The sequence below is a fragment of the Homo sapiens genome, chromosome 9 (genome assembly GCF_000001405.40).
Source record: "Homo sapiens chromosome 9, GRCh38.p14 Primary Assembly".
Taxonomy (NCBI): Eukaryota; Metazoa; Chordata; class Mammalia; order Primates; family Hominidae; genus Homo; species Homo sapiens.
In genome coordinates, this window is record NC_000009.12 from 598,553 (window position 1) to 625,113 (window position 26,561).

Genomic DNA, 26,561 nt, shown 5'->3' on the forward strand with positions numbered 1-26,561 from the left:
TGTGTAAGTCTTTTGCCTCCTGTGTTAAATTTGTTCCTAGGTTTTTTTGTTTTGTTTTGTTGGTTTTCTTTTTTTTTTTTTTTTTTTTTTTTTTTTTTGAGACAGTCTCATTCTGTTGCCCAGGCTGGAGTGCGGTGGCACGACCTCGGCTCACTGCAACCTCCTCCTCCTGGGTTCAAGCGATTCTCATGCCTCAGCCTCCTGAGTAGCTGAGATTACAGGCGCACACCACTACGCCCAGCTAATTTTTTGTATTTTTAATAGAGATAGAGTCTTGACGTGTTGGCCAGACTGGTCTCGGACTCCTGACCTCAGGTGATCCGCCCTCCTCCATCTCCCAAAGTGCTAGAATTACGGGCATGAGCCACCATGCCCGGCCATCCCTAGGTATTTTATTCTTTATATGCAATTATAAATATAATTGTTTTCTTAATTTACTTTATGAATGATTTGTATTTATTATTATTATTTTTTTTTTTTTTTGAGACGGAGTTTCGCTTTTGTCACCCAGGCTGGAGTGCAATGGTGCGATCTTGGCTCACCACAGCCTCCACCTCCCAGGGTCAAGCAATTCTCCTGCCTCAGCCTCCTGAGTAGCTGGGATTACAGGCACACACCACCATGCTTGACTAATTTTTTATTGTTAGTAGAGACGGGGTTTTTCCATGTTGGTCAGGCTGGTCTTGAACTCCTGACCTCAGGTGATCTGCCCATCCCAGCCTCCCAAAGTGCTGGGATTATAGTTGTGAGCCACCACACCCGGCAAGAAATATTATTTTTATTTTTTAAAAAATAATCTCTAGTGGTTATTTTAAAATTCAAGGTAAGAACCCCACTATTCCTCCAAATATTCTGTAGAGTGGTCTCTGTTAAGTTTGATATACATCCTTCTACATGTTTTCCATGCATTTATATACAAACATACTTTCTTACTGTGAATAAAGTCATATACTTTGTCTAAATTTTAACTTACTATTTTACATAATTATAGATTGTGTCTTTCTCTGCTAGTTTACTTATTTCTCTTAAATGCTGCAGAGTAACCCATCATACTGATATGCTACGTAGCTGACCCTTGAACATCATGGGTCCACTTATATGCAGGTCCACGTGCAGGTCTGCTTTTATGCAGATATTTTCAACCCAACATGGATTGAAAATAGAGTACTTGAGGGATGCAAAACTTGCATAAAGAGAGAATTGACTTTTCATATACGCAGGTTCTTCAGGGCTGGCTACAGAACTTCAGTATGTGAGGATTTGGGTATTTGCAGGCAGTCATGGAACCAGTCCTCCTTGTATATCGAGGGATGACTGTACTTTGTTTAAGGCTTTATTTTAATGATCATTTAGTGTGGTGTTGGTGTTTTATAGTATAAATAATGCAACAGTTAACAATTTTATACCCACATCAACGTATGTCCATGTAAGTCTTTAAGGTAATAAGAATTGCTGAGGCAAAAAAAATTACCTTAAATTTTTTTAAAGTTTTGTGTTAGGCATAACACATAATTTACTATCTTAACTGTTTTTTTAATTGCACAATTCAGTAATGTTGTTTACATTCACATTATTGCGCAACCAGTCTCTAAAACTCTTTTTCATCTTTCAAAACAAAAGCGCTATATCTGTTATACAACAACTCCCCACCCCCCTCTTCCCCTGGCAGCCATTCTACTTTCTGTCTCTGTAATTTTGACTATTCTAGGTACCTCATAAGTGGAATCACACGCTGTCTGTCTTTTTGTGGCTGGCTTATTTTACCCAGTGTAATGTCCTCAAGGGTCATCTATGTTGTAACATGTGTCCAAATTTCATTCCTTTCTAAGGCTGAATAATATTCCATTGTAGCATCACATTGAGTAATTAAATGCTTGGAAAGAAAGAAGAAAAAGAAGGGTATGTCTGACTCTTTTCATTCCCATACAATGTGGTAACATACGTAATAATCTAAATAGAATATAAATAAATAAAATGAAGTCCTTTTAGGTATGTGTATGAGCTATATAAACAGGTATTTTTAAATGCATTGTGGATCCAACTTCATATTAGTAGGTGAGGAAACAACTAGTAGCACATAAATGCTTCTTGGGCTTCTTGCACACTTGCCCTCCATACACCTCACCTCATGCCCAACATAACTTTCATTATCCCTCCACCCATTGCTGGCAGTCATTTTTAAATAGCTTTGGATTTTATGCCAAAAGATCTTCTACTTGTTGACAGATTCTGTGAATACCCAGTGTTCGCTTCTTTTGCACTTTCCAAGAAAGATGAGTTTGGGAATTTGCTAACATGTTCTAAAGTTAAAGCTTTTTGTTCTGGGATAACTGAAAAGTTTAGTTATCCAAAAGGCAGCCCACCTTCATTTTTCAGGAGGGTCACTGTGATGTTCTGTCTTTCTGAGTCTCATGTCTCATACCTTTCTGTGCTCTGTCATAATTAACTAAAGCAGAAGGAGGGAGATCCTTTTGTAAAATGCCCAAAGAAAAGAAAGCCAGATGGAAGTGAGGAGTAAGAGTAACCACAGTTGCTTTCCTCTTCCATCAGTCTTTAAAAACTTTTTATTTTGAAATAATGTTAGATTTAGAGAAATGTTGCAAAGGTAGTACGGGGCTCCCATACCCTTCACTCAGTTTCTCCTAATGTTGTTATCTTACATAACCATATTGAACTATCGTTAATATAATTATCAAAATTGGGAATCTAAATTGGTCTAATACTTCCAGCTAAACAACAGACCTTACTAGCATTCTATCCAGTTTTCCGCTATCCTTTCTTTATGTTCCATGATCCAATCCAAGATCCACATTGTATTGAGTAGTTCTGACTCTTTAAACTCCCACAGTTTGTGACAGTTCCTTGTCATTCCCTGTCAGTTATTTCTGGTTAGTTATTTTGTGGAATGACTAGATTTGGGGCTGTCTGATGTTTCCTAGTGTTTACCTTTAAGTTATGCTTTTTTTTGTTTTGAAAGAAGACCACAAAAGCAATGATGTATCTTTTTTATTGCCTCATAACTGGTTACTTGATGTCAGTTTCCCTTATTGCTAGTGCTATTCGTGTGGACTCATCATGGACAGTTACTTCATTCTGTGGGTTATAACCCAATATTATCATCATTATTTTCTTCTTCAAATTATTCTAGCTTTGGCCACTGGGAGCTCCTTCAGGCTGACTCTGATGTCCTTTTGACATGCTTCCATCTTTTTTCAAGTACTTCCTCACATTATGGCATCCCCTGATGCTCTAGGCTAATCTTGTATTTTCCTTGCCCTACTTTTGGAATCAGTCACTTCCCTAAGGAGCCTGGGTCCTTTTACTGGACAATGGTGTTTAGAAACCAATATCTGAGTACCAGACGTGCACATTGCAACTGGGGTGGCTTTTTGTCTTCCATGAGTTTTATGGTGAGCTCTTTCCTGTGAACATGGTTGTACCAGGTCTGAAACTCGTTTTTAACACTTCTAGGTAGTCAGTCACTTTGATGTAAAGTCATTTTGATCACTTAATGTTGAGTTGTTAAAATCAATGCACATACCCTGTAGAAAAATAGGTTCTTTATCAATGGAATAGATTAACTTTTTGTGGAAAAATACTTTTACATTGATAGGATAGCATTAGCATCCAGACATTTTTGACATTCCTTCAATAACTATTCCTGAGTTTCTGACTCTCATTTTTAGCCCATTCCATTTTTATTTATTTTATTTTATTTTATTTTTTGAGACGGAGTCTCGCTCTGTTGCCAGGCTGGTGTGCAGTGGTGTGGTCTTGGCTCACTGCAACCTCCCGCTCCTGGGTTCAAGCGACTCTCCTGCCTCAGCCTCCCAAGTAGCTGGGACTACAGGCATGCACCACCATGCCCAGCTAATTTTTGTATTTTTAGTAGAGATGTGGTTTCACCATGTTGGCCAGGATGGTCTCAATCTCTTGACCTCATGATCCGCCTGCCTCAGCCTCCCAAAGTGCTGGGATTATAGGTGTGAGCTGTTGCACCCGGCCCCCATTCCATATTTTAATGAGAATATCTTTTGGTTAGTTATAGAGGTAAATACCTGGATTTACAATGTGTAACTACAGATTCATCATCCTATAATAAAGTAACTCTTTTTGCATAAACTTTTGATAAGTTATTTTTGTCCTTATAATTTTATGTGTGAAGTCTTTACGGTCAGAGGACATTGACAAAATATTTTAGATTGAAAGCCTGTTCTCCTTGATGATTCAGTATAACTTCTTTTGACTGCGCTTTTAGTTCTTGCAAAATAGATCTTGTTTAGATGAGATTCCAGCATGACTCCTTTGTAATTTTTCATATTTTTGCTATTACATCTCAACTCTTGAAGAGCTATTTCTGTGAAAACCAAACATGCAGTCAAGGCACATTCCACGTGTGGCTGATGGGGTTATCATAGTTACAAATCATATTTATCCACAGTGATAATTATCTTCCTTAGCGTTTTGTTCTACTTCAGAGCTCATTTGTGGGCCTTACCACCTGTTTCTTACATATGGGGAAAGAGTCTCTTATTCTCTTTTGGAATATAGATCTAAGAGTAGATTTATATCAGGATTTGAAAGATGAATCTTTTTCAAGGATGTTTTTCCTCTGGACCGTGGCATTGTGTAAGAAATTTCCCTACTCATCCCATCCCTGGGGCACATTAATTTGGAGATGATGTTAAATGTGTCAGAGTGTGGCACAAATCTCAACTGGCAGATAAAGCCTAGTATTGAATTGTTTTCAGTTCAGAAACGTGGCTGGCTGACTTTGACCCTGAATGTGTAAATTATCTTTGCAGCAATAAGAACTTGAAGTAGCTTTGATAGCTAATCATAGTATGATAACTCAGCCAGAAGAATTCACTAAGAGCAGTTTGTGTGTCTTCCATCTAATGTAAAGGTTAGTAATGTAAGTCATATTCTTGGTGCCTTTAGACCTAGTTATGCAGAGAGACATCACATTGACATTCAGTAATTCTTACTCTTAACAGTTCCTTAACTCTAAAATCATCTTTTTCCTTACCTTTCCCTAGTTCTAGAACAGCAAAATATTTTACTTAGATTCTATCATTAATTAATATACTCGTTTGAATTTTTCTCTTCTAAAAAATGTAGGCCAGGCATGGTGGCTTTACACCTGTAATCCCAGGACTTTGGGAGGTCGAGGCGGGCGGATCACCTGAGGTCTGGAGTCCGAGACCAGTCTGGCCAATGTGGCGAAACCCACCCCGTCTCTACTAAAAATACAAAAATTAGCTGGGTGTGGTGGTGTGCGCCATAGTCCCAGCTACTCTGGAGGCTGAGGCAGGAGAATCACTTGAACCCGGGAGGCAGAGGTTGCAGTGAGCCAAGATCACGTCACTGTATTCCAGCTTGGGTGACAGAGCAAGACTCTGTCTCAAAAAAAAAAAAAAAAAAGTAAAATTATTTTGGCCTTACCATGCTTGGTTTCTTTGTCTTTGTTTTTTCATTCACTTTATGTTTGGGGAGGAGAATGGAGTGTCAGTGATTTCAGCAAAAAGTTGGGGTACCAGTTCATAATAAATTAGTGTCTAAGATTAATGTTACAGCTGATATTCAAAGTACCAAATACGTTATTGTTCTGATTATTCTGGTCCTTAAATTTGTCTCTTTCCTGGAGACGTGGTAAACAATAATGATGATTCTAATAATGACCATTTATTGAATGAGCACTATGTGTCAGACATTGTACTGGTGATGTGGTTTGGCTGTGTGTCCCTACCCAAATCTCATCTCAAATTGTAATCCCCACGTGTTGAGGGAGGGACCTGATGGGAGGTGATTGGATCATGAGGATGGTTTACCCCATGCTGTCCTCCTGATAGCGAGGGAGTTCTCATGAGATCTAATGGTTTAAAAGTGTTTGGCAGTTTCACCCTTGCACCCATGTCTCTCTCTGTCTCTCCTGCTGTCATGTGAAGAAGAGGTCCTTGCCTCCCCTTGGCCTTCCACCGTGATTATAAGTTTCCTGGCCGGGTGCAGTGGCTCACACCTGTAATCCCAGCACTTTGAGAGACCAACGCGGGCAGATCACTTGAGGTCAGGAGTTCAAGACCAGTCTGGCCAACATGGCGAAACCTGTCTCTACTGAAAAAACAAAAATTAGCCGGGCGGGTGGCGCACACCTGTAATCTCAGCTGTTCGGGAAGCTGAGGCAGGAGAATCGATTGAACCTGACAGATGGAGGTTACAGTGAGCCAAGATTGTGCCACTGCACTTCAGCCTGTGTAACAGAGTGAGACTCTCTCAAAAAATAATGATAATAGTAAGTTTCCTAAGGCTTCCCCAGCCATGCAGAACTGTGAGTCAATTAAACCTTTTTTCTTCATAAATTGCTCAGTCTCAGGTAGTTCTTTATAGCAGTGTGAAAATGGACTAATGCAATTGGGCAATGTCTGACAGTTTGCAAATACCATCTCATTTGTTTTTAATAGAAACCTCCTGCTGAGAGTGGTGGCTCACGCCTGTAATCCCAGCTCTTTGGGAGGCCGAGGCAGGCAGATCACATGGTCAGGAGTTTGAGACCAGCCTGACCAACATGATGAAACCTGTCTCTACTAAAAATAGAAAAATTAGCTGGGTGTGGTGGTACGCGCCTGTAATCCCAGCTACTTAGGAGACTGAGGCAGGAGAATCACTTGAACGTGGGAGGCAGAGGTTGCAGTGAGCCCAGATTGAACCACTGCACTCCAGCCTGGGCAACAAAGTGAGACTCCGTCTCAAAAAAAAAAAAAAAAAAAATCTAATACTAGCCATGAGGAAAGATAATCACTCTCAGATAGTAAAGCATTTGCTTAGCCATATGTTAAGCTCTGAATTCAGATGAAGGGGCATCTAAAACAGGCAGAGAGCATCAGGAAGGGCTTCCTGGAGGAGAAAGTGCGTACACTCAGTCTTTAAGAGCACGTGGGAGGAAAAACCAGTGAAGTCCTCCTGCTGTAGACAGAATGATCAGCCTGGGCAAAGGTGTAGAGGGGTAAGAGAGCGTTAAACATGAGGCAGCTGTGTAATATTGTTTCCTGTAATCTCTTCTGTACAGGTGGAGAGGTAGCAAGAGACCCAAATGATGAATGGCTGTGAGTGCCATGCCATAGCAAAATTCTGGGTTTTAAAAGAGAATAAGCATGATCAGGCTGGGGATGTTGAGGAGGGGAAAGAAGGGGGATAGAGATGGAGACCACCCAGTGGCCCGCTCTCCCTCAGTGCTTTGGATTATGGGGAAATGAACAGAGAGCCACTGTGCCCAGATTTTATTATGGGTTGAGCAGTGATCAAGATGGGAGAGAGAAATGGTAATGGGACTAACTGGCCCATACACCAGATGGCATTTGAGGGGAAGGCCGGGTCTGTGTTGTCAGGGGGCCCTGTGTTCTGACTCCCTTCCCATTAGAATAGGTGGTGATTAAACAAGCTATGCCACACCCTAAATTCTGGTTCTGGGTTTTACTATTCAGTCAGTTTTATCAAATTAAGATGATCATGTCTTCCCTTCTGAAAAATTATAGGGGAAGAAAAACCATAGAACTTTCCCCCAGTATATAGCATTGAATTACACATATTCCTACACACACACACACACACACACACACACACACACACACACCACTCACACATATATACGTACATACATATATAATAGAATTTTTATATAATATGTAAAATTTTAAAAATATATATTTTTAGAAGGGCTGGGGGTGGTGGGGGCGGTGGCTCACACCTGAAATCCCAGCACTTTGGGAGGCCGAGGTGGGCAAATCACCTGAGGTCAGGAATTCGAGACTAGCCTGACTAACATGGTGAAACCCCGTCTCTACTAAAAATACAAAATTAGCCGGGTGTGGTGGTGCATGCCTGTAATCTCAGCTACTCAGGAGGTTGAGACAGGAGAATCACTTGAACCCAGGAGGTGGAGGTTGCAGTGAGCTGAGATCCCGCCATTGTACTCCAGTCTGGGCAACAACAGCAAAACTCTGTCTCAGAAAAAAAATATATGTGTGTGTTTTATAAACCTATAAAATATGTGTGTGTGTGTGTGTATATATTTATATATTTATATATATTACATATATATATATGTTTAGAAAATAAAAGATGCAGTATGTCAGTGCTTTCTTATGACAGTTGCAGCTACAAAGGAAGATTAAAGCTTTTTAAAAAGTAGAATTTTTATCTGTTTGTGGAGAGGACTGAAACCAGTAAGCTCTTGAAATGTTTTCATCCTCTCATCAAATATATATGGACCTGCCATATGCCAGGTACTGTTCTTACTACTGTGGAAATAGCAGAAAGGAAAAACAAAGTCCCTGCTCTCAGAAGGTTTAGAATGAGATAAGGCAGGCTACTGAGTTGGCTTAAAAACTAAGAGGAAACTAGTGAAGTGTAGTTGCCCGTTCACATTTTTATTTTTTTAAGTATTTTATGCCCACGGAAAACTGTGGGACTGGGACTTGAATTCTAATTTTATGTTTTCTTGGGTTATTCTTTAAAACAGGGTCTTAGACTAGTAATTAATACAGTGTCACTCTCTTTCACCTTCCTCAATTCCTTTGCATGCTTGTTAGGTCATTCAGAGTGGCACTAAGGTAAACTTTGGCATATCAAAATCCACTTGAAAGCAGATGGTTAGCAAGGGGCAGTGACTTATGCCTGTAATCCCAGCATTTTGGGAGGCCAAGGCGGGTGGATCACTTGAGGTCAGAAGTTCAAGACCAGCCTGGCCAATATGGTGAGAACCCGTCTCTACTATAAATACAAAAATTAGCTGGTGTGGCGACGCACACCTGTAGTCCCAGCTATTTGGGACGGTGAGGCAGGAGAATCGCTTGAATCCGGGAAGCAGAGGTTGCAGTGAGCCAAGATCGTGCCATTGCACTCCAGCCTGGGCGTTACAGCAAGACTCCATCTCAAAAAAAAAAAAAAAAAAAAAAAGGAGATGGCTATGCTTGTTAAACACTGTTTCAGTTGAGTACCTCTCCTGTGGGCTTGTTGGTTCTTGTGCAGATTCCTGCTCCTGCCCAAGTCCAGGACTAGCTGCACATACCTGCACATGTGCCTCACCCAGTCCAGGACGGCTAGCCTTGTTCTCTTCACCCAGCCCAGCAGCAGAGTGCTAGGAAACTTTGCTGGCAGGGCTGTAAGAACCTCTGTAGTTTCTTCCCATTTCCTTGTTCTCCTAACTTACTATGCTGGGAGGAAATAATATGGTGTGGTAACGATTTTAGGCAAAGAAAAAAAGCGCCGAAATGGATGTGGTGGTAAAATTAGGCCAATCTTTTGGAAGCACCTTAGCAACCTCCTTTCATGTTCTTGGTACCTTTACCTGGTTGTATTGTAATGTTCATTTTTCCTTGTGAACATCTCTCTGTGTGTGTGTATGTGTATAATTTATCTAGTACCATGGAATCTTTGAAGGAAAGACTAAAAAACTTTCAGAATTATTATTATTATTATTATTATTTTTTTTTTTTTTGAGACGGAGTCTCGCTCTGTCGCCCAGGCCGGACTGCGGACTGCAGTGGCGCAATCTCGGCTCACTGCAAGCTCCGCTTCCCGGGTTCACGCCATTCTCCTGCCTCAGCCTCCCGAGTAGCTGGGACTACAGGCGCCCGCCACCGCGCCCGGCTAATTTTTTGTATTTTTAGTAGAGACGGGGTTTCACCTTGTTAGCCAGGATGGTCTCGATCTCCTGACCTCATGATCCACCCGCCTCGGCCTCCCAAAGTGCTGGGATTACAGGCGTGAAAACTTTCAGAATTATAACAATAAGTTTCATTTGTTGTATAGCACATTCTACGTGACCATAGACCAACTCTCCTTTATCAATATTTGTGTATTCTCTTAAAGAGCTAAAAGAAATCATTTTTTAAAAATTCTTTATATCTAATGTTGGCCAATGTTACCTATAAGAAAAGATCATTGTTTCAGAGCATGTGAGATGAAGATGATTGACTTTAGGGCATTTACATGTGGGAACTGTCAAGGTAGTTGAAGTTTACAAGAGTGGGCTCTCTCTCTAGTCACTTCGGGAGGAATGCCATCATCAGGACATCATCACGACTGACTGATTTGGTCAGTCTGTCTTTCATCAAGTCAGGGAGATAAACAGAATTGAAAAATTGTTCACAAAGGTTGTCAGTTATTAGGGTGTGGCTGACGAACCACACCTGAAGAGCTACCTAGATGAAGGCAACTCACAGAGTTACTTAACAACCTCCACCCCAGTTGATGGTCCAGAGTGTTTCCAAGGGAGGTGAACTAAGCCAATGTTGAGACTGAGTGGGATAAGGCCATGGTGACATGCATAATAGATGCATTCATACACATTGCTTCAATAGAGCATTTTCTTGGATGGAAGCATGGGAAATAACACATGGGCGTATACTCACGCTTGTTGTTAGCTTTCGGGGTCACTGCTGATATCCTTCCTTGTTCAGTTACCCTTTGGGACTTGAACTCCTGCAAGATCGTTGAAAATCTTCATGTTCTCAGAACTCAAAGGGAAGAAGACTTGACCCCTAACCCTTCAGAAAGCTGGCTGAAAAAAAAAAAGATTGTCCATAAATAGCAATTGGCTTTACCTAGTATTATTTACCACATTATTAAACTGCTAATTGCAGTGGTGTTTTTATAATGCCACTATATTATTTTAATTTAGAAAACATTTTATAAGTTTATTGTTTGTAAATTAAATAGATTTGCTTAACAGTTCTTTGGGAATTCCTTAAACTTTATTGCTAGCTACAAGTCCTTTTTAAATAGAATCAATAGGCTGGGCATCGTGGCTCACGCCTGTAATCCCAGCACTTTGGGAGGCCGAGGAGGGCGGATCACCTGAGGTCAGGAGTTCAAAACCAGCCTGGCCAACATGGTGAAACCCCATCTCTACTAAAAATACAAAAAATTAGCTGGGTGTGGTGGCGTGCACCCTTAGTCCCGGCTACTCAAAGGGCTGAGACAGGAGAATCATTTGAACCCCAGGAGGTGGAGGTTGCAATGAGCTGAGATCGCTCCACTGTACTCCAGCCTGGGTGACAAGAGTGAGACGCTGTCCCAAAAAATAAATAAATAAAATAAAATAATGAATAGACTCAATAGACATTGATCCTGCTAACATATTTTGCCTTTTAATCTATTGGTACTTCTTTTATTCCCTTTAAAGTTAATTCTAAATAAAGGAGAAGTATCTTAATTTGGTTAATATCATAGTTTGGAACTATGGCAAAATTATTTTTTCTCAGGCTACTTTCTAGTAAGTATTTTATATTTATTCACTAAAGAAAATTTTTAAAATTTCAAATTACGTAGAATTGTACCACTCTCACATAGAAATGTTTTTATCTTTCTTATACATATATTTATGTGGTTTGATTTTTATTTGGAATGCTTGTTTTACTTGAGGTGTCAGGACTTTCCACTCATTTATGAAGCCTTTACAATTATAATGATAAATACTGTTACATTAATGTACAATAATTTATAAAACTGACTTTCTCATGTTTAAAATTTAGATCGTGTCTAATTCTTTGCTACTTTAAGTATCATTGCAGTGAAATCTTCAGGCCATAATAAGTTACTTCCTTGCGATAAGTTCACAGGAATAACTAGATTAAAGGTATGAATACATTTTAATTTGGTTGAACACTTACGTTTATCAAAAACTCTTTACAAAAGTAACACAATTATCCTAATAAATTAGAATATTAGAAGTATATAAGATGAAAAAACATTCTCACTGAACTTCAGTCCTGCTCTCCAAAGTGAACCATGATGAGACCTTAAGCAAATGTTATATATAATGAGAAAAGATAGTCCTGAAGAATTGAGTGATATGGAAGTGATAATGGTGTACTATATGGGTGAAAAAATAAAGTACTGGTTTAGATACATGATTTAAGAAATAGAATCCTGACAGTTCCCTCTGTGGATAAGCCATAGAGGTGTCCAGTGTTGGTTTAATATAGCAGCTGGTTTGACCGAGTACCCTCTGCTGCGTCAGGTAATGTTAAATGATGTCCATGCCCCCTTGACTCTGATCAAGACATGGCTACAACCTGCAGTTTCCAGCTTTCCTGGGTTTAAGGGCCATTGAAGAATCCTTGTAGATAAGAGAAGAATTGTACATTCCAGGAACTGGAGGCATAGCTAGCCTTGGAAAGCTCGGAGGGTTAGTTGAGACAGCTTTAGACTTGCACATCTGTGACCTGAGTATCTTTGAGACTTGATTTCATCTTCTAGACCCAGAGGCAGAGATCATGTTTGTGGTTATTTTTCTGGGAACTGAGACTGGGCAAAGGGAAAGAGGCCAGTACGCAAGAGTGCTGTTTATAAATGGTTAACATCGTCCCCAGTCCCGTAGAAGAAGAATGAAATGGTATTCTCCTGTTTGGTGGTTTTATTTGATTGTTTTTGAATTCTTTGTCTCTGACAGAAGGCATCTTCTGTATCCTTTATGTTGTCACTCACTTTATTACTCTGGCATTATTATAATTAGGTTACCTTATCACTCCACCTGCCAGCCCTATCTCCATCCCCAAGACCTGAAGGGACGGTTGGCTTGACATGTGAGGAGGTTTTTTGGCCTTCAGAGATGTCGCTGTCAGCCCCCTGAGTTCCATTTGTTAGTATTGGGTCCAGCCCACAGCTTTCTACTAAAAACAACAGGCAAACTAAAGAATCTTTTAGTAAGTCACAGACAATTGTCACTGAACCAAGAGCCCAGCCCACGGGGCCAGTTCCTCACCGACTCTATGCCTTAATTTCCAATGTGTAAGCTTGGATGACTACACTTATCTCCAGGATTCAGTGTAGGACATAGAAAAAAGTACAGGACTCAAGTAATGATTGAACTTGGAATAAAAACCTTAAGGCCCATGTCCTCTGTCTCTCATGCTTTTCAGATGTGTCTTAGTGCCTGCTCCTTGCACAGAAGCTGAATCCAAACAAGCCACTGAGGAAGTTACATTTCACTTCACTTCTTAATAACATAGGTATGTCGATCCCATTAGATAGGAGTGTGTCTAAAATTCAGAACCTTTGACACTAATTATCTGACTGTCAAATGACAGTGTCATTCTATTTTGCAGGCATTTTTGATAGTTTATCTTCCCAGTAATATTTTTGTAATCTTCATCACCTTGACCATCTAACTCTTTTTTTTGGAGACAAAGTCTTTCTCTGTTGCCCAGGCTGGAGTGCAGCGGTGCAGTCTCAGCTCACTGCAACCTCCGCCTCCCGGGTTCAACCGATTTTCCTGCCTCAGCCTCCTGAGTAGCTGGGATTACAGGCGCATGCCACCACACCCGGCTAATTTTTTGTATGTTTAGTAGAGATGGGGTTTCACCGTGTTAGCCAGGATGGTCTCGATCTCCTGACCTTGTGATCCGCCAGTCTCGGCCTCCCAGGGTGCTGGGATTACAGGCGTGAGCCACCGCGCCCGGCCGACCATCTAACTCTTATGTGCCCTTGCCTGTACATATAAAAGTACATTTAAAAATAGGATTGGCTTTCATTTGCATAATGAACACACATATTACCCATAGTACCTCCCACACAAAGCCACCTATGCCTCTTAAATTGCACTTTGTTAATAGGAAACTATCTGTTGTTTTGTGCTTTTGGCAGCTGTAGAGAAAATACACAAAGCCAGGTGTTGTGGCTCTTGGGTAAGACTGAGAATGTGATTTTTGCAATCTGTGTTTTTTTAATAGCCAGTTATTGGAGATAAGAAAGAGAAATTCAGTACAAAGTCTAAGATGTCCCAGTGATGCACTCTGACTGGGTGTCATTATCTCAACAGGAATGAATGTAGTTCAACAGTATGTAGGCCCGGTTTCTTAGACATGATGTCTGCTGAAATGGTGATAAGGTATCCCACATTATCGGTGTTTTTTTGAAGACAGCCTTTAGGGTTTCAGTGTCATCATCTTTATGCCTTTTGCTAAAACAGTTTATGTTCTGCCTTTTAGTAAGCCTTTATGTTAAAAACGTTTCATATTAAAAAAAGTTATCATTTGGAATACATAGGTCAACTATCTAGGAATGGGACAAAGTACAGAAACAATGAGACAGGATTTGTGGGATGAGAAATTAAAAAAGCAGTCCCTTCAGCTGAAGAAGCTGCTTAGAAATTTAAGCCGGACATCTCAGGCGGCCATACTGGAATGGAATGTGGAAAAGGTAGCAGTTATATGTGAGCAATACCTTTGACTGTGACACTCTTTCGAACCCCAGTTTAGACCAGCAGCAGCTCTCCTAATGGGGAGTCAAGAAGTAGTAAGAGACCCTAAGAGTCATATAAGACACAAATCACCTTTGCCTGTGATATTTGCCATACATATGCCTATGGTTACATGCAGAGGATCCCAACAGGAGCATCATACACACAGCAAATAACACTAATGTGTTTTATTTATATGTACCAAATTAAAGGGGCATACAAAATAAAATTTTTAAATGAGTGGGTGAAGATATTGGGACAGAAGGAAGATATCAAGAGGAGGAAATATGGAGTAAAGATAGAGGTAGCATGTACTGTAAAAGATCTTGTAAGTAGACCAGAATAGGCCAGTAATTTGGCTCCATGCTTCCTAGCAGCCAAGGCAAAGAAGTAATTGTGACCAGATACATAGTTCACAGCATCTTTAAGATTCAGTAAGCTAGCAACTCAAGAAAAGCACAAGTAGTCACCATATAGGGACAAGTGGACCATGCTGTGAACAGCACACTAGATAGCAAGTACAGCTGTAACAATCGTTGCTGGAGATAGAGCAGAGCTTCAGTCCTTTATGACAAGCTTGTCCAACCCATGGCCCACAGGCTGCATGTGGCCCAGGACAGCTTTGAATGCAGCCCAACACAAATTTGTAAACTTCTTAAAACATGAGATTTTTTTAAAGCTCATAAGCTATCATTAGTGTTAGTGTATTTTATTTGTGGCCCAAGACAATTCTTCTAGTGTGGCCCAGGGAAGCCAAAACGTTGGACTCCCCTGCTGTATGGAAAATCGAATTTGTTTACATTCTCCTGTTGTATTCATTTTTGAAATTTTGCTAATTCCTAAAAGGAATCCACAGAGAGCAAACTCTCTATTACTAACTTTTTTCCTCTTCTCAATGTAAATTAAGTAGTATTTCAAATGAGATTAAAAACAGGATACTTCTTGAACTTTACTTTAAAAATACAGGTTCATGAGCCCCTTAAGTTTTGTGACTTTCTGTTGTAAAAAAGACTGTATTCACTAGATGGCAGTGTCACCAGCCTTTTGGGAAGTTAAATATGAGTGTGACTGTCCTAAGTACTAAACATGGGTAAAAGTAGGAAGACCATTTAACTGAGCATAAAGGATCTCATTTCTGCGCCCTACAGGAAAGAGTAGTTCTCCTTTTTCTCCTCCCCTCTTATTTGAGGCCGGGAAGAAGGCGCTGTGCATAGCGCTCCAAGCATCTCTGGGTGGCACTGGAGGGCCATTTTTCACAAGGAGCAAGTCGGCCAGCAGAGTGCTCAGTTCTTGGTCATGCCAGTGGCTGCAGGGTTTCCAGCCACTTGTCCTTGCTTCTTTGTTTCTGAACTTTCAGTCCGGGGCAGGAGTTACTGACAAGAGTTCACAAACCAGCTGTGAGATAATGGTGTATTGATAAGGTACAAAAGTGTGTTTAGCAGATGGGGATAATTTTTCGACCCTCAGTGTTTGTTTAAATTGTTTCTAGCATGAAAGCAATATGATCTCTCTCAGGAAATGAGATTGTTTTCTCTATTCAGGTAATAGGATCTTTTACCCATTTCCATCTTTGAGGAGTGATTATATACTTCTGCAGTTTTTTTAAATGAAAAAGATTTATTTTTAAATCATACTGGCATAAAGTTAATGGTATTTTGTTAAATTTTAGGATTTTTACAGCATATCTTGGCTGACACTGATCTTGGTCCTATCCTAGTGGCAATCTCTTAACAGTTGTGCTGCTGGTGTTATGAGTAGGACAGTTCCTCATTGTGTGGGACTGTCTCGTGTGCGGCAGGGTATTCTGCATTCCTGGCCCTTGCCCACTAAATGCCGGAAGTGCCCCTCAGACATGACTGCCCAGTAACACTCCCATGCATTTCCGTGTGCCTCCTGGGGTGGGGCCAGTACTCTCTAGTGTTGAAAACTGCTGGGCTAGAGATTTTGGTGTAGGTTGTGGGCCTTGTGGATTTAGTGAACATGATCTTTTAAAGAAATGTATATAAATGTACTTTATATTTTTAAAAAATCACTACAGCCCATCACCTTAAACTTCTGCTCATTCATATTTATATATGTATTCTGATTGTGATTACTCCTACATACAATTCTTAATATAGTACAAAATTGTACATATATAATTTTATGGTACCCATCCCCCCCCTGCCCTTTTTTTGAGACAGGGTCTCAGGCTGGAGTGCAGTGATGCAATCATGGCTCACTGCAGCCTCCGTTTCCTGGGCCCAAGCAATTCTCTTACTCAGCCTTCCGAGTAGCTGGTACCAAAGGTGTGCGCCACCATACCCAGCTAATTTTTAATTTTTTGTAGAGGGTCTCCCTGTGTTGCCCAGACTGGTCCTGAACTCCTGGCCTCAAGCAAGTCCTCCTGCATTGGCCTTCCAAAGTGCTGGGATTATAGTCTTGAGCTACCGCGCCTGGCATAGTATCATCTTTTTGATACCAACATACTATAAATATATTTTATTGCATTTTATTTGAAACTGTTAATAGACACATAATTTGCTGATGAATTGTATTCTTTGCTCTTTTAGTCCATCTGGCATCATATGCTCTTCCTTTTTGCTAGAATTCCCTCTTTTTTTCTTTCTACAGAAGTATCACTGGGTGGGAGAAAGCCTTACCTGTGATGGTTTGAGTACCCACATTTTAAAATTATGCTAGTTAAGAAGAGGGGGAATAATGTTGTTTCTTTTCTCTTTTTCTTATCAAATAGACTAAAAAGGCTACTCAAGGGCTGGAATTTGATTCCCACTTGTTCTTGTGGTACCTAGCACAGAGTCAGTCCCATAGTATATCCTTTAGGTAAAGACTTAATTAATTGGTGTGCTTTCAGTTTATTTTCCCTGGTTGGTCTTTGCATTTGTCCAGTTAACACCAGCTTCTGGATATTAGATCACCATAAAGTCCAAGACATGAAGAACAAATGTTATATATTCTCTTTGACATTTAAAGACAGAAGATAGTGGTAGAGGAGATCCCAAGTGATACCTAACCTAGCTAAAGACCCATGAGGAATGAAAGAACGAACAGGGAAAACAACTGCTGAATCCAGGTGGAAAAATGCTGGCCTACTTCTGGTCCTTGGTATGCCAGGATCCAAAGGTGGTGCCAGCTGATAGCATATGTTCAACAGCTGTGTTGATGCCATTTGCCTGCCCAGACAAGCCTCTTGAGGCATGAAAGCCTAAGGAAGGTTTCTCATATTAAGGATCAACAGGGACTCTTCTGTATCCGTCCTACCAGTGTCACCTCCCCACCCAGCATCAGCCGAGCACCACATCCACTGAAGCTCAATAAAGAAATGTTTAATGCTGAAGAGTTTCAATCAACAAGATGAAATTTTCAGGTTTAGGTAAACTTAGGAACTGGCTTGGGTTACTAGACTTCCAAATTTTATCCGGTCCTACCTTATTGCATGACATAACCGTGAGGACTAAAGTGAAGGCTTTTCAGCAGTCACTTCAGTGAGTCCTCAGCATTTAGGTGATACTGTATCAACTCGTGTCTGAAGCAACTTGGATTTAAGATAGTAGATCTTGTGCTGATTATTAGAATGGACATCCTGAACACCACTTAAATTACCATCAAACTGCATAGCCAGATCTTTAATTTACGAAACCTCTATTTTGTCACTTCTCCAAGCTGTCATTTAAGCTAAAAGCTGCTGTCTTTACACATATAAATCAAAGAAATATTTCATTTATATTCACTTGATACCTACCAAATTTCACCACTGGAATTTCTGAATACTTTATATCCTCTATCCTTCCATCCAGGCTTGGCTTTACTAAGTGTCCTTTCTAAGCCACTCATTATCAATCAAGATAGTAATTATTCTGCAAGACCCCAAATCTCAGTGGCTTTCAACAACACACACTGATTTTTTTACTCATATGCTACACGTCCATTATTTGTCAGCTGCAGCTGTGTTCAGTGTTGACCTCAACCTGTGATGGAGCAGCCTCTGCTTATGTCGCTGCTGTTCTTTATAGCAGAGGAAGGAAAGAAAGCAAGGCAAAGTTCCACACTAGCCCTTAAAACTTCTTCCTGGAAGTGAGACATGGTATTTCTGCTACCACTTCATTGGTTAAAGCAAGTCACAATGCCACACCCGAGTTGAGTGAGGGTGGGGATATGTGATTCTTCCTTAGGAAGGAGCAGGAAATTTTGGTGAATAGTAATGTAATCTACCACATGTTTAAAATGCAGTCCCTTCTCTAGAAGATCTCAGTAGTCTAAGAGAGAATAATTTTTTTTTAATATACTACCGTAAGTGAATGTTAGGTCAGTTAGGTCGATTTTTTTTTCATTCTTGCAAGGAATCATTATGTCTAATAAAATATAATAAAGAGTTTATGGTATATTTGAACTGTCCTTAATGTTATTTTACTGAGTCCAGTTCTTTTGGCAGTGGTTTAGTTTCTTTAACAATCTGTATTCTACAACTTCACTCGTTGCCTTCCTTGTTTAACATTTATTTTTCAAAACCAGACATGTCTTTTGTCTTCAAAGGATAAATGGAATTGGTTAGGAGAAGGATTGGGGAGGAGGGGGGTTGTGGCAAATGTCTAAAACCTATGTTTTATTCCCTTATTTTCTCAAAAATGTTAGCTCATGTTCACACGGGTTTATCTGTTTAGTCTAAGAAGTAGTTACTTTTGCTGTCTGGCCAAAGAGGTTCAGGACCCTGGAGCTTTGTTCTTTGGGACCCTGAAGGCAGCCTGGCAGGCAGAGCCCAGTATCACCTTTACAGCTACTTGATGGTGATCAAGAGCCAGCTGCTCTTCTTTCACCTGGCTGTTGGGGGAGGCACACCAATATGGGTGGGCAGGAAAAGTTACTTCCCAGGCTGAAATTTTCCCACCGTAAACTTAGGCTGATAGGCTGACAGTCTGCACCTCTCTTCCTCAGCAGACATTCCGATCAGCAGGCCAGTTTGTGACGCGTGCATGTGCACACTTCAGATTGCTTCTTCCACTTTCCTCTTTCCTGCTCAGGTTTCTCATAGGAGTAGGCTCCATGTAAGACTTCTGTCTTTTGTGAAAAAGAAAGCACGTATTTATAGAATGGAATTTCTTACTGAAAGAGGGTGCGGGCAGAATGGAGGATGACATGAATCCTGACTCAGTAACATTTATGGAACCACTCTCTGGATGCCACACTTACTGTGGGCAGTTACCAAAAAAATCAGTTTGGCCTACCTGCCTCCTAATATAATTTACCCTGCACACAAGGCAGTATCTTGAAGGTTATTTCAGTAGTACCCACGGAATTCTGCTTCCTTTAGGTAAGGAAAAGTATTCCCAAGAACAAAATATACAGGTTAAAGCCCATGTAATATAAAATTATGGCATTCATTGAAGAAAATACAGGCTATTCTAATTCCAGATCACATTTATTTATTTATTTACGAGACAGAGTCTCGCCCTGTCACACAGGCTAAAGTGCAGTGGCGTGATCTCAGCTCACTGCAACCTCCACCTGCTGGTTCAAGCAATTCTCCTGCCTCAGCCTCCCGAGTAGCTGGGACTACAGGCACACGCCACCACACCCAGTTAATTTTTGTATTTTTACTAGAGACAGGGTTTCACCATATCGGCCAGGCTGGTCTGAAACTCCTGACCTGAAGTGATCTGCCCACCTCAGCCTCCCAAAGTGCTTAGATTACAGTCGTGAGCTACCATGCCTGGCCCCAGATTACATTTTTAAAATGAAGAAACAGATATTTTCTCTTAGTCAAAATACTTATCGGAACAATTTTTTTTAAAGCAAAGATTGCATCATTTAAAAAAACATATTCACTCCTAGGCATCTGAATCACTGCTTCACATGCACAGTAGACATTCGTGAAATTATTTTTTTAAATGATGATGAATGCCAGGGCTTGCTTTTTTTAAAAAAAAGTCTCCAACCACAACATCCAAACTGGTCATTTGGGAAGTGATGCTTCCATTCAGTAAGAAAGCTCCTGCACACTGGGTGAACAGGCGGTGTTTTCTCCTCTCATCGCTGACATTTAATACCTGTCTTGAGGCAAAATTGTCTCCACCTTATTAATCCATGGCTCCTCACGAGCCTTAAAACAGAGAATAAAACTTGTCAAAGAAGAAAAATAGAAAATTAGAGAAAATAACCTCACTACTTATTTTCAGGCACCTTGTGACTTAAGAAAATGTTTTTAAATGTGGACTCTACATTTTATGAACTTAAATTTAGTGTCTGTTGGTCAAAATCCACAGGACCTTTAGGAGAGAAAATGGCCATAACTAAGTACAAGCCTCTCTTTTTAAATGCTTACCCAGGTCAGTTAAAAGCTTCCTTGTAGTTCTGAATCCTCAGTTCTTGCTTTACAGCCAATACTTAAAAGGAACAGGGGAGAGCTACAGTGCTTTTGAATTTCAGAGAGGCCTCTTATTTGTGCCTCAAGAATAGTTTGTATAAATGTTATATTTCAAGCCACACAGTACTTAAAACCATCACACTGTTTAGTTTATCTAGTTGGGTAGAAGAGGGGGCAAGAGAACAAAGCAGTATTAAATTAGGGCAGCAGCATCAGGGACAGGCTGATGTGAGAGCACCTTCTTTCTTGGGATGGGTAGAGTATAATTGTCCCTTTGCCTATCGTCAGATTTGGGTGGCCCAGTTGCTTTAAATTTTGAAAACATGGGAGTATTAACGCAAAGAAGAGCCAACATTAGTTCAGAATAGCTGAATTCATCATTCTTTTGGAACCAGTTTTGCTACTGTATAATGATAATAGCTCTTCAGCATTCATCTAGTGAGTGATAAAGATAAGTGATGATCCACAAGAAAGTTTACCTTTGACTTGTGGGTGCTCACGGACTGCAGAATGCAGATGTTCGTAGATCAGCCGTACTGTAATTTTCAAGGATTTAATATGCAATACATTCCTATATTAAGATGTTGAAACATTAAAATATTAATAATTTGCAATGATTTTTAAATACTTTAAACAGGCTCTTCCACTGGTGAGATTGTTTTTCCAAGCAGAGTTAGCTAGTTTAAATTCTTTCGTTGTGGCTGGGTGCAGTGACTCACGCTTGTAATCCCAGCATTTTGGGAGTCTGAGGCGAGCAGATCACCTGAAGTCAGGAGTTCGAGACCAGCCTGGCCAACATGGCAAAACCCTGTGTCTACTAAAAATAAGAAAATTAGCCTAGTGTGGTGGTGTGCGCCTGTAATCCCAGCTGCTAGGGAGGCTGAGGCAGGAGAATCGCTTGAACCTCGGAGGCAGAGGTTGAGCCAAGATCACACCACTGCACTCCAGCCTGGGCAACAGAGCAAGACTCCCATCTAAAAAAAAAAAAAATTGTTTTGTTGTATTCTCAGTTGTCTATTTCAGGTCTAGGCAGGCAAGAAAACTTTGTCAGGTACACTGGTGTCTTCCAAAATGTGCATCGTACCCTCTATTACTCAGTGTCATTAATCACATCCATTCCTTTCCCACCCTGTCTTGGAATAGGACATTAACTCTTCAACGATCTGCCCCCTAAATAAAACCTGCTTTCTTGGGCCATAGTAAACAACACGTAATTCTTTGCGAGAAAAGCAAAATAGTGATAATTATAATTTTTTTTTTTGGAACGGAGTCTCGCACTGTCACCCGGGCTGGAGAACAATGAATGGCGTGATTTCGGCTCACGGCAACCTACACCTCCCAGGTTCAAGCGATTCTCCTGCCTCTGCCTCCTGAGTAGCTGGGATTACGGGCGCCTGCCACCACACCCGGCTAATTTTTTGGTATTTTTTTAGTAGAGATGGGGTTTCACTATGTTGGCCAGGCTGGTCTCAAATGCCTGACCTCATGATCCAGCTGCCTTGGCTTCCCAGAGTGCTGGGATTACAGGCGTGAGCCAACTTTTAAAAATTAAAAAAATTTTTAAAAACCAACTTTTTAAATTTTCAAAAACCAATTTTAAAAACCAATTTTTAAAAAGCCAACTTTTAAAAATTTAATATTGGAGCATAATAGAATTCAGCAATATAAGATTTGATTGGGAATAAGAAATAACATCTCTTTTAAAAATGACTACAGCCCTCTTAACAATTTTACTCTTAACCAATTTTGGGGTACCAGTTTACTAATTGATCAAATTCCAGATTGGAAATTAGTCATCATTTGATTAACCAGAGTTAAGCCTCTTGAATCAAATTCTCTAATTTATTATCTCCCATCTGATCTAAATTCTTTTTTAGGGGATAAATTGCCAAAACGCTTTCAGAATGCCCAGTACTAGAAATCTAAGCTATTCAATTCAGTCTCTTCTCTGTTTTCAGGCTCCTTTCCTGACCCTTTGGAGAACCTAATATATTTAGCTAAAAATTTTTCTTTGGGGCCTCACCTAATAAAGGTAAATAGAAAACTGATAGCTATCACATAACATACATATTGGTTAATAATTGCAACCAAAAGTAAATTAATAATTTTGAGCTATTTATATTAGCTCTGCCAAAATTACATCATTAAATTTGGCCTTATGAAGCATTGCTGACTGTAGTAAAAACAAGTGTGAGCAAAGTCTTCATATGCACTGAGTCTGGTTTCAGTTCCACGTAATACTGACTTGGCAAGTGTGGAAATTCTCATGTCATCATTACCAAAAAAAAGTGAGTTCACACAGGGATTTCTGATCAAGTGACCCATTACTGCGGGAAAAAACCACACATACAAAAGCCTTTGACCCCAGTAATTTTGTATTGGTATATTTACCCTGATCTTAAACTGCAAGGAATGTCCGCAATTAGAGTTTTTCTTTGTTTTCTAAGTCTGAAACTTGATAATCCATTTCTGCCTTCCCATGACGAGTGGACATTCCTCCAGCCAGTGGTGAGTTCCTCTTTCCTTCGCTCTCAGCAAGAGCATGGGTTGCCCTCCCATCTCGTAAGCAGAGCCTACCACAAACGCAGCTCAAATCTCAGTTTCCAGCCCTGCTTACTCACTCGCTTGTTCCTGAATCCCCACATTACCCATCATGGCATCTTACTCTGTAGACTTCACATGTGAACTTTGCCCTCGCCGGTGGAAGGGGTACAGTCCAGATGGGAGATGAAATCCAAATGCTCCACCAAAGGGCTTTGGTTTGTTCTGGGGAGCCCTGGTGCTGCCGAAGCCTCTTGGGAAGGAAGGAGGGAAGAGGAGAAGAAAAGATACTAAGTTTGGTTTTCATTAAAAATTTTTCCAGGTTTTCTTTAAACTGATAGGTTCAGGGTCTTTTTCATACAACAGTCTACTTTTAGAGCTTTTGTTCGTTTGTTGTGTCATGGGAATTTATAAGGGATGGAAGGAAAAGGGGGACAAGGAATGGTCTAATTTCGGTCAGTAGAAGAATACCTGAAACCTGTTTAAATTTATTTGGAACTAATGACTTCTACTTTTAGTATCCATAAAAGACTTCCCTTGGAGCACAAAGAAGTTAATAATCTGTGTATATTGTCACTTCATGCTCTTCTTAAGCGCTGTGTGTTGGGGCACTGCTCTAGGTGTGGTGAAAGACTGCTACAGGATAAATAAGTCATGGTCACTGCCCTGGAAAGAAGCTTAAAATCCAGTGGGAGTAAATGATAAATGCATAATGACCTAAATGTCAGATGGATCTAGTACGTACCTGGAGGATTGCATAGAAGCATCCTGACAAGGGTGCCAAGAATACGCAATGGGGGAAAGGACAGTCTCTTCGAAGAATACTGTTGGGAAAACTGGATATCCACCTGCCAAAAAATAAAATTGGACCCTTAACACCATATACAAAAATCAACTTGAAATGGATTAAGACTTAACTGTAAGAGGCCGGGTGCAGTGGCTCATGCCTGTAATCCCAGCACTTTGGGAGGCTGAGGCTGGCGGATCACAAGGTCAGGAGTTTGAGACCAGCCTGGCCAACATAGTGAAACCCCATCTTTACTAAAAATACAAAAAATGAGCCAGGCGTGGTGGCAGCACCTGTAATCCCAGCTAATCGGGAGGCTGAGGCAGGAGAATGGCTTGAACCTGGGAGGCGGAGGTTGCAGTGAGCTGAGATCATGCCATTGCACTCCAGCCTGGGTGACAGACCGAGACTCCATCTCAAAAAAAAAGAAAAGAAAGACTTAATGGTAAGGCCTGAAACCATATAATTTCTAGAAGAAAACACAGGGGAAAAAAGCTTCTTGACATTGGCCTTGGCAATGATTTTGTTGCTGTTACCTCAAAGCACAGGCAACAAAAGCAAAAACATACAAGTGGGACTACATCAAGCCAAAAAGCTTCTGCACGGCAAAGGAAACAACCAACAAAATGAAAAGGTAACATACAGGCTGGGAGAGAATGTCTACAAACCATATATCTGGTAAAAGGTCAATGTCCATAATATACGAGAAACTCGTACAACTCAATACTAAAATAAAAAAAAAAGTGGAGGTGGGGCAAAGGACCTTAATAGACACTTTTCCAAAGAAGACACACAAATAGCCAACAGGTAAATGAAAAGATGCTTGCCAGGTACGGTGGCTCATGCCTGTAATCTCACCATTTTGGGAAGCCGAGGCAGGTGGATTGCTTGAGTCCAGGAGTTCCAGACCAACCTGGACAACATGGTGAACCCCTGTCTCTACAAGAAATACAAAAATTAGCTAGGCGTGGTGGCATGCACCTATAGTCTCAGTTACCCATTAGACTGAGGTGAGGAGGCTGAGGCAGGAGGATCACCTGAACCCGAAGAGGTCGAGACTGCATTGAGCCAAGATCATGCCACTGCCCTCCAGCCTGGGCAACAGAGTGAGATTGTGTCTCAAAAAAAAAAAAGAAAAAGAAAAAAAAAAGAAAAATGGTGCTTGACATCACTAATCATTAGAGAAATGCAAATCAAAACCACAATGAGATATTATCTCACATTTGTTAGGATGCCTGTTATCAAAAAGACAAAATATAACAAGTTTTGACAAGGATATGGAGGAAAGGGAACCCTTGTACGCTATTAGGGTGAAAATTGGTACAGCCATTATGGACATTGGTATGGAAGTTTTGTAAAAATCAACTATATGATCCAGCAGTCCCACTTGTGGATATATGTTTAAAAGACATCAAATTAGTATGTCAAAGAGATATCTTCACTTCCATATTTATTTCAGCATTACTCACAATAGCAAAGATATGGAAACAACCCAAGTGCCATTTATCTTAGGAATGGTTAAAGAAAATGTGGTATATATATACAGGATAGAATAATATTTAGCCATAAAAATAAGGAAAGCCTGCCATTTGCAACAACATGGATGAACCTGGAGGACATTATGCTAAGTGGAATAATCCAGACACAGAAAAACAAATACTGTATGATCTCAGTTATATGTAGAATATAAAAACGTTGAATCCACAAGCCAAGAGTAGAATGGTGATTGTCAGGGTCTGGGGCATGGGAGAAACGGTGAGATGCTGGTCAAAGGGTACAAGCTTTCATTTATAAGATGAATATGTTCTGGAGATTAGGGAGCGTCCTTAGTCTTTTCCCTCTCCATGCAGAGGGTAACTATGTGTGATGACAGATGTGTTGATTAATTTGATTATGGGAATCAATATGCAATCTATATTTATATCAAATAATCACATTGTATACTTTGAATACGTATAATTTCTATTAATTATTCCTCAATAAAATTAGGAAAATCAGAAGCATCCTAAAAGTTGCATTAAAAACAATGATGAAAACAGGCCGGGTGTGGTGGCTCATGCCTGTAATCCCAGCACTTTGAGAGGCTGAGGTGGGTGATCACTTGAGATCAGGAGTTTGAGACCAGCCTGGCCAACATAGTGAAACCCCATCTCTACTAAAAATACAAAAATTAGTCGGGCGTAGTCATTCCTGTAGTCCCAGCTACTCGGGAGGCTGAGGCAGGAGAATCACTTGAACCTGGGAGGTGGAGGGTGCAGTGAGCTAAGATCACGCCACTGTACCCCAGCCTGGGTGACAGAGCGAGACTCTGTCTCAAAAAACAAACAAAAACAATATCCCCTTTAAAAACGCAATGAAAAAAATAGCTGCCTTACCAAGCCACCAGTGAGAGCCCATCTCTGAGGAAAAGGGGTGTGCAGCCGGACAGGCTTCAGTTTAAAAGCTTAAACCTTGACTTGGACTTACTTTATGCCCTGAGCAAGCTATTTAACTTTTTTGTTCCTTAATTTCTAAATTATGAAATGGCAGTGGAATGAAATGGAAGATGAAATTGTGCCTTGTTCGATGCCCTGGGGTCTGAAAGGTGCTCCTAAGGGTGTACAGCAGTTAGCACCGTTAGCGTCCTGGGC

At 40.5% G+C, this 26,561-nt stretch overlaps 1 protein-coding gene across 39 annotated transcripts in view, besides 1 other annotated feature; it reads left to right on the forward strand.

Annotated features, from left to right (window-relative positions):
- The window catches only part of KANK1 (KN motif and ankyrin repeat domains 1), a 275,809-nt gene that overhangs the window by 128,258 nt on the left and 120,990 nt on the right, over window positions 1–26,561 (forward strand). For 6 of the 39 annotated variants that reach the window (XM_047423041.1, XM_047423067.1, XM_047423060.1 and 3 more), the window contains one exon: window positions 12,924–13,013. The exons of the other annotated variants lie outside the window; for them this stretch is intronic. The gene's annotated coding sequence lies outside the window, so the exon portion shown is untranslated. The remainder of the gene's footprint in view (window positions 1–12,923; window positions 13,014–26,561) is intronic. 39 annotated transcript variants of the gene reach the window in all.
- Window positions 22,785–23,984: an enhancer, noted in NCBI's record as "BRD4-independent group 4 enhancer chr9:621337-622536 (GRCh37/hg19 assembly coordinates)". NCBI's record gives its function as "activates an origin of replication core promoter dependent on BRD2, P300/CBP, MED14 and CDK7 cofactors, and independent of BRD4, by STARR-seq in HCT116 cells {active_cell/tissue: HCT116}" and the evidence as "EXISTENCE:reporter gene assay evidence [ECO:0000049][PMID:35650434]".